The 9,341-nt window shown below is 35.7% G+C and overlaps 1 annotated feature.

Annotated features, from left to right (window-relative positions):
* Nucleotides 6,141-7,183: an enhancer, noted in NCBI's record as "VISTA enhancer hs217". NCBI's record gives its function as "enhancer in: hindbrain (rhombencephalon)[14/20] | midbrain (mesencephalon)[11/20]" and the evidence as "EXISTENCE:transgenic organism evidence [ECO:0001131][PMID:17130149]".

Below are 9,341 nucleotides of genomic sequence, written 5' to 3'. Positions count from 1 at the left end.
TTTATTTTTAGAATCCCTCCACATAATTCACATAAAGCTTTTCACGTAGAATATGTCAAACCACCAGAAAGCAACATAGTCCTTATGACACTGAGTTTATAAGGAAACGATGCTATAGAAATGCTCACAAATCTCCATCATGGGCTGGTATGATTAATAACATAGGCTTCTAAGAGATAAAACTTAGCTAATTAACATAGTTTTTTTTCCCCTCACTTCCACTTCAACATGACATTTTCATTGTTGTTCTATGGAATACAAAAGAAATATAAGGCACAATCTATGTGCACAAGGAATACATAATTCTTGGCTAAGCAAAATGTAAATTAATTAGCAGAAAAAGCAACTTTATGATACAACTTTGTAGAAAAGCAGAATATGCCACTCCAAAATACGGCTTGTTGGAATAAGAATTATTTTGAGCTGATTATTTTAAGAAATAGCAAACACAAGAGAAGTACTGAAAACAGAGTAGAAGTTACTGTTCTGTAAGGGAAATTTACACGCATAACAAACATTTCTATTTGTAAGGGTGTCTCCTTCTAAGTAACAGAAAGACAAAGATGACTGAATCACAAAGCTCTTATCAATGAAGAGGGCATGGACTTAGGCCTGCATAAGAAGCCTTACTCTTGTTTACCTTGCTTTTCCATGTCACCTCCCTGCCTTCTTCTTTCTTTGTTTTAGTTGGAGATGCTACATAGGCTGAAGTTCTAGGTCTCATCTTTGATAATTACTCTTTCTGAGTTTTCTCTCATGTATATATGAAGTAACATGTTAATATACTTCTTTCACTTTTTCATCTTTTTGTTGTTGTTGTTAGAGGGATCCCAGCCAAGAACACAGAAGAGTAGAGGAAAAATTATTCTTTCTCCCCTAAAACTTCATGTGTTAACCAAGTGTCTCCCAGACTTGCCCTCTTATAAGAATGACCTGGGTTTCTTTTGTAAAAAGTATGTATTTTCAGGTCCCGTCACTGGAGTTTCTAATATACATTGAGGTGTAGCTTGTGAACTTACATTTTTGTTAAGTGCCCAGTGAATCTTTGATCAGGCAAGCTGGGAAATACTTTTCTAAAATAATAAATCACTGCTTCATTAAGAGGAAAATAATTTACAGAAAGTCGAGTTCAATGTGAGAGGGGAGCATCAAGAAAGACTTAATAATATATGTCATTCTTTTTCTCATCTTAGAGTGCCGCACTTCTCTAATGAATGTTGTCGTCTGCAGTAATCTGACCATCTCTTCTGTTCTTAAACTCCAGCAATCTGGATTTTTCCCTCCCTTTTCCTCACCCCCAGTTCTCACTCCTTGCCGCTTAATCTCAGAATGGGCTTTCCTCATTATTTTTAGCTTCTCAGAAGCATCCAGTGGGAACATTTTCCACTCTTTTGTCCTTCCTCTGACCCTACACTGCCCTAATTTTCCAACCTCTCCTCTTTTTAATATGTTTCTTAAACCTTCTGCACTGTTTCTTATGTACCTTTTTTCAAAGATATTAATTTACCTAGCTATAATATCATTTCTTCACAAATGTCTATAGTGTACTAATGTCCATTTGTACTAATCATTTTGACACTGTATATTGCAGGGTATTTTTTAAGATTTTCATGTTTTTTTTTCCCCAACTGGATTGTTAATTTATAGAGAATATCTACCTTAAATTAAAAAATGATTAGCTTTCACCAAAGAAGTATAAATAAGCTGTATGTTAATCACAGTATCCCTTGCTCTTTCCTGCTGTAGAAGTATTGCTGTGGTGAGGTCTGTGGTCTTGAAATATGCACACACTGTATTTAAATAAAACATTGACACATTAAGCAATCTTGTTATGCAAACCATGCTAATACACACATTCCATTTTAATATTGTCATGGTCAACATTATTGAGTGTGATCCATGGCCCAGTAGGGGATTGCTAAGGCTCTCCAGATAGATTATTTGATTCTTTAAAACTGGAATTATTTACGGATCATGGGATCAAGAGATCGAGACCATCCTGGCTAACACGGTGAAACCCCGTCTCTACTAAAAATACAAAAAATTAGTCGGGTGTAGTGGCACTCTCCTGTCCCAGCTTCTCGGGAGGCTGAGGCAGGAGAGTTGCTTGAACCTGGGAGGCAGAGGTTGCAGTGAGCCGAGATCGCGCCACTGCACTCCAGCCTGGGCGACAGAGCACGACTCCATCTCAAACAAACAAACAAACAAACAAACTGGAATTCTTTAATAATTTTTGCTGACAGTTCAATTTCACAGGTTTTAACTTTTATATATGGTTAAAGGTGAATTAGTAATAACCTACTAAGTGTTGTTAAAAATGTGCTCTTTAAAAACTTGAATTAGTGTGTGACTAGAGTTTACTAACTCCCCTAATTCGGCATGCTGCTAAAACATCTGACCACCACCCATTGCTTGGCTCCGCTACACATGACAAGGCCACAAGACTGGCGGGGAAAACAGTTTGTTAGCAGCACATCAGTGAAATTTTGAGCAGACAAAGTTTTCAATTGCAGCTGTTCTTATAGCCATCAAAAATTTCATAGCTTTACTCCTAGATTTTTACCTCTGTTTATCACTTGTTTCTAGATAATTCTATGTTGCTACTGTTTCCTTTTTTAAAAAAAAAATCATTTTTCCCCAAGTCTATTAAGCACTGGCAAGTAAAATAGGTAGGTCATGGTTACACATATTTGGGATCTCGTGTCTGAAAGGGCAGTGAGAGCTGCAGCATCAGAGAACAGTGTCCGCAACTTTCAGGACCCAGGCAGTGGTGCATCATTTCTCAGGCCTGGAATGTTTCAATAAGTCTCACACAAATAGTCAGGTATGTACCACTGACAACTCTGGGAAGAGCACTGGGAACTGTGAATTCAGATACAAGGCTTATCTGAACCACACCACAAAAGGTGCTTACAGTTTCATGAAGCACTTCTCTCTGTAGAAAACAACCCTTGGGAAAATAAAAACATTGTGTTTCTTGCTCAGTGTTTGTTTGGGTTGTTTTCTTAGTTTCTTATTTTTTTCTTTTTAACTTCTTTCATCTTTCAAGATAAATGATAAAAAAGAATTTTAAAATAAAGTATTTGCGAGTCTCCTTAACACTGCTTTCTGTGTCAGCTTGCAGCGATTGCTCACATGAACTGATCTGATACCAAGTGGAAGTGACCTGCTCTCAGGCTCAGCACTTAAAGAAGCTTCTGATGAACACATCCCTGCCCAATAAGAAGTTCCAGAAGGAATTAAAACCAAAACTTAAATGTTGAAAAGAAAGAGATCATCAGTAGCCACCAAAGAAGGTATGTGAAGCTGTATAAAAACTACGTTAATGCATTCACTTCCTGTATACTCACTCTTACCAAAATGGCAAGCCTTCATTACGAGCTGGAAAATAACTTTTCTTGCTTGAATATGTTATAGTCTGTGAATGAAGTATTCATAGTTTAACATCTCTCTACTTGCCTGCTTAAAAGCAGAAGTGTCCTAAAGTATAATCAGTTCTATTCCAGCTGAGGGATAATGGATAAGTAAGAGAACCAGCATTTATTAACCACCTGCTATATTATCTGACACTTCGCTTTCTTTATCTCATTTTATTTTCACTAAAATCCTATACATAGGGATTTGTATTCCACATTCACAAATGAAAAATGTAAAATCTAAGAAGCTTAAGTAAATTATCCAAAGTCCCAATTACTAAAGCAAGGTCTATATAATTACCAAATCCATGACTTTCCAACTTTTTTATCTGCTACTAAGGATAACAATACCTATGTTTGCCAACTTATATGTTGTTTTTAAAAATGAAAGGATATTATGCATGTGAAAGTAGTTTGGTGGGTTAAGGACATTTTGGAAACATACTTGTTTATTATCTGCAGCAAATTTCTTCCCTCTCTCCCCTTTCTCCTTCCTTCCTCTCTTTTTTCTTTCTCAAACTCATGCATATTGATGACACAGAAAACAAAACATGCTTTCAATAACATAATATTATCAAAGTACTTGCTTCTTAGAGTATTTCATATTCTATATCAATTTTATATTTTTTTCCAGTTCATCCATGTTTTCCCATATGACATCCAGTGAAAACATAGCTGCAACATCAGAGATCACCATTTGAAAATCCAAGAAAATGAGTTTGCTCTAAGTCAACAAAATTGCTTCCTTGAATCAATACTGCCAACCTTTCCAAATATTCCTAAGACCCATGATACACATACCAAAAAAAAAAGGTTAATATTTATCTAATTGATTTGATCAATAAATAGCTCTGGCGAACAATGCAATACTATTGTTCTTTCTGTTATTGCAGGTGTGTTGAAGGTGTCCAGAGTGGCATGGGTCTGGTTCACAGCAGAACTACCACCTTTGGATGTGGCAGAGAGCAAGATATACACTTTCTATAACTCTAAAGAATAATCAAGGGAGTCACAGTGAATCACAAGACTGCAAATTCCTCGAGAGGTACATGAAGCAGTGGAAATATGTTTGCACTGGAGTCAAACAGCCATGGCTTGGAAGTCCAACTCTTCATCTTCCAGCTCTGTGACCTTGCGAAGTTACTTAATTTTAAATGAAATAATGTAATAAAGCACTTAACACAATAGCTATTATTATTGTTACTATCTTTTTATTCCTAAAGATCTTAGTAACGCTTTGAAGATCATCACTTTTTCGAAAATATGTGTTGGCTGATTTTTATTTCATTGATCAAACTGTCTAAATCCAGTCATGTTAATATTTGGCACTATTAGAAAGTAACTCACCCTGTAAGTTTTTTTTTTTTTCTGAAAGAAGTTTAGTTAGTGTATCATTCATCACTTCTGAGTACCATAAATGAATTTCAACTAAGTTTCAAAGTGTCCTCACCATAGTTATCTAATTTCCCCATATTTTCTTCAGCAAGAATTTCTATATCTTGAGAATCAGCATAAATGTTTCATAAAGCTGCTCAAACCATATGTGGTGAAAATCAGAAGAGGAGCCAGAAATCAGTGTGCCAGAAATACAATACCAGCCCAATTCCTTTTATGTTTACTTCAGATTGTTTGTTTTGAGAGCTTATTGGAAAAGAAGATTTTTTTTAAAGGGAAGGATAAACTTGAAAGACTATTTCAATGCCATATGATATAAGCCCCAAATACTAAGAAATTAAAGAAAGCTTCTTGTTAGTGTGCTCTCTGTAGCTATAATTGAAATTCAAAAATGGACAAACAGCCAAGCACAATCATGGAGTTACAGTTTTTGGCAGAATTAAATTCCCTTAAGATAGTTATTGGACAAGGAAAACTAACATTATGGCATCCTCCAAGATATTGTTTATTTCTCCTTAAGGTAAGTTAGGATTCCTGATCAATACCTAGTATTAAACTGTGTGGGTTTTGTTTGTTTGTTTGTTTGTTTTTTGGAGACAGAGTCTTGCTCTGTTGCCCAGGCTGGAGTGCAGTGGTATGATCTTGGCTCACTGCAACTTCTGCCTCCTGGGTTCAAGCAATTCTCCTGCCTCAGTCTCCTGAGTAGCTGGGACTACAGGCCCCCTCCACCATGTCCAGCTAATTTTTTGTATTTTTAGTATAGATGGGATTTCACCATGTTGCCCAGGCTGGTCTCAAACTCCTGAGCTCAGGTAATCCACCAGCTTCGGCCTCCCAAAGTGCTAGGATTACAGGCGTGGACCACTGTGCTCAGCATAAACCGTGTGTTTTTAAACAGGTTAAATTGGATCCTCAAATATTCTTCCCTAGGAGGTTTCATTGTTACACAACAGAAAATGATATTTCGTGTATTTTATATTTTTTGCTTAATCTAGGTCTTCTTGATGACAGCATTTTTGCGTTTCTTTTCTCTAGAACTACCTACAAGGAAAAGTCATGCCATCTGTAGGTGTGGTAGTACATAGTTAAAATGAAGAAAGTGTAGGATCCTTTCTTCATCAGCAAGTCCACCGCCAGCACCCCTCATTATGAAACGGGTTTGACACACGACCCTTCTTAAGCACCCTTACATAGCAAGTAGATGGACAAGACTGTAGAGATTCACGAGCTCTAAGATAAACTGTCAACACAAAGCGAGCAATCCAGATTGTACATCCTCATTTATGAATTAATGATGAGTGCTGAATCAGAATGATTGGAAAATGAAGGAGCAAGAGAAGGCAGTGGAGGAGGGAGTGGAGAACAAGGCATAAAAAAGAGTTCTCACTTGGAGCTTGAAATATAAATCAGAAAAAAAAAAACTTAAAAAAATAAAATTTAGCTTGTTGAATTCCCGAGCCTTAGGAGATCAATGAAGTAAGGGTTAAATTTTACAACTTCTGAGCCAGGAAGATCAATAGCATAAGTTACTCGGATCCCTTCTGAAGTGTGTACTTTTTCTTCTCTCTTCCACCCTCCCTTCATCTTTTTTGCCTATGACATTTCACTCCTCACCAAGAAAGGTAATGTGGTTTCTTTAAGAAAATACTTATAGTAATAAAAAATGACTTTAACAGCAAAAACTAATAATTGCTAAGGAGCCAATTAAATTCTGAAAGCGAGATGAAACTCTTCTTATTTCCCCTGGTGATTTTATGCTTTAAACTCGCTTCCGTGTTAGAGGAGGGAAAAAAAAGAGAAAATATAATTTCAGAAGCTGACAGAACTCATTGTTCGAGAAATTTTAAATTCAAAAAAGTTAATAAAGCCCAACTATAAGATGAAGGGAATTTGCATTTCACAGATTAACAACATGTACAGCAAGAAAGGCGATCCGCCTTGCCCCAGGTGATAATTTAAGAAACCTTTGCATATTTTATTTAAAACTGGGCCCAGTTTGGCTGGGTAATAAAACAGACAGATAATGATTAGAAGGTCGCCCCTCCAGGGCACACAGCTTGGGCCCCTGCAAATACCAAACAATGAACCCACAAGCCTGGCTGGCTGAAGATTAGTCTAATTGTCTGCTGAGGTTTTTCCCCCCACTCTGAAGTTTCTCTCCTCCCTCCCCTAACTCTACCTCCTAACCCTCTTCCCCCACCTCCTTCATCCCTCCCTTCTCCCTCTTTCTTTCTGAACTGTTTAAACAGGGTGATAGTTTGCCATTTGTGTTTTTGTTCTTCCTCCTTTCCAGGAAAGCGCAATGCAATCTATTTCTGGCAAGCTTGCCCGCATCTCTCCAACTCACTTAGCCTGCATTTCACTGTGCCTAGGACTTCCCTTTTTCCTTCAACCTATTTGCTGATTAGGCAGGCAATGAATCTGTTTCCAAATTGTAATCTCTTCATCAGCCAACTTTTCAGATAATGGTAAAAGTTTTAGATTAAAAAGGACAGTACAATTTTACATGTTCGACAAATTTATATTAGACTTTCCCATATAGTTTAATAAAATGACATACTTTATAGACCTAAACTCCTATGCTTTTGAATTCCTAGCATGAATAAATAGTAGAACATGTACACATAAATATTCATAGGTATATATGTGTATTGGTGCAATAACATATTCATGAACTATATAGGTGAATATATACAACATATATGCATAAATATGAATAATATATGCTATTATATGAATAAATCTGAACACTGTATGAGTTGTATTTATCTATATGCATTTACATGTAAACCCATTGAAATTAATCTTTATGACCAGAAGATCCATCACAGACAGTTACTTTTAAGTGAATAAACACTCATGAAAAATCAAGAAAGTGTCAGGAACAGAATTGACCTTTACTCATTTATTTTAACAGGTGTAATATTTGTATTTAATTATTTATGATGATACTTCGAAGGGAGCTGGAAATCACCTGTCCCATCTTTGAAAAGTAATAAAGTTTTAATAACAGGAGAGCATTCCTCATTTCTCTGCCAGTAAATCTGGACCAACAAAATGGGACTTTTCTAATAAGGGGAGAGGTGATGGCAAGGATGAGCAGGGGACTAAGGCATAAGGCTTGTAATTTGAGAAATAAGAATTGCAAGGTTTTGCCTGTGGATACAGAGAACATATGCACATCATTGTATTTAAATATACATGTATTAGAGGCTCATACTGGTTTGGAAGTGAAAGTTCTAAAATTACTCAGATATACAGCTATTTCTAAAAGGTCACAGTCAATTCACTGAATTAAGTTGGGTTTTTAAAAAGGGTTATTTAATTGAGTATAAGTCTCCCTCATTGCCCCAGCTCCCAATGGACAAATTCAATAGACACATAGATAGATTACATAGAGATAGATAGATAGATAGATAGATAAATAGAATTTTAGACCTTAGATATATATAATTCTTCATAGTTTACCTTTTACTGTGTATTTTATGTGTAATGAGTGTGCTGCAGTAACCAAGTCCTAGCAATAATACATATACATGTGAATACTCAAATATAAATACTGGCATCATTGGTTTGTGGTATTTTTTCCATATAAAATGTGATATTTTCCATTTTCATGATACTTTTCAGAGGAAAGGATCCATTCAATTCAGATATAAAAAATAAATAATAAATTAAGCATATACATTATTTTAAGTCAAGGAAGCCTTGGAGAGACATTTGAAACCTTGAGGAGGAATCTACTCAACCCTACTATTTGTTATTAAAAAACTTTTTTCAAATTGTTTTTAGACACAAGGTCTCCTGTGTTGCCCAGGCTGGTCTCTAACTAAAGAGTTCGAGAAGGACAGGGTAATAGGAGATGAAATCATATAACCATAACTATGATATTCCCCTAAATATTCTATAGGCAAGGTCTGCTTTTTGAGGAAAACATAATTTTGTAGGAAATAACGATGTTAGCAATGGCATCTTCAAATGGGAAAGAGAACTACTATGGAAATACTGAATCATAGGTTATGTAAATTGTCTACATGAAAAAAATTCCCTAGATATGTTATGCAATCAAATAACTAATACATATGATTCAATCAAAAGAACTTAAGACCCTATCAATAGAATGAAAAAAATTAAATATAATTAAAGCCTTATCTTCATTATTAGTGAATGTAAAACCATTTTTTAAACTTTTTTTTTTTGTTGTTTCATGAGTCACAAGTGCCTGTCACCAAAATCAAAGTATGTGCAAGTGAGCTGGAAAGGAGCTCCAAGATCACTGGCCATTATTTCCTTAATTTGCAGATGAAAAAACTCATGGTCAGAAAAATGCTCAAAAACTAGTATCATACAACTAACTGAAAAACTGGAACCCAGCCTTCTGACTTTCAGGCAACACTTTCTCATTACCTTACTTAGTAGAGTGCAGTAAATTTAAACTTTACATCATTGTTCGAAAGTAATGCATCTTGCATTTGATCTCAGGAACTCAGATTAAGTCAATGCTAATACACTGGCCCATAATCAAAGTAT

The sequence above is a fragment of the Homo sapiens genome, chromosome 6, assembly GCF_000001405.40.
Source record: "Homo sapiens chromosome 6, GRCh38.p14 Primary Assembly".
NCBI classification, from domain to species: domain Eukaryota; kingdom Metazoa; phylum Chordata; class Mammalia; order Primates; family Hominidae; genus Homo; species Homo sapiens.
Note: the sequence above shows the minus strand (reverse complement) of the source record. Positions and strands in the feature narration are given on the sequence as shown.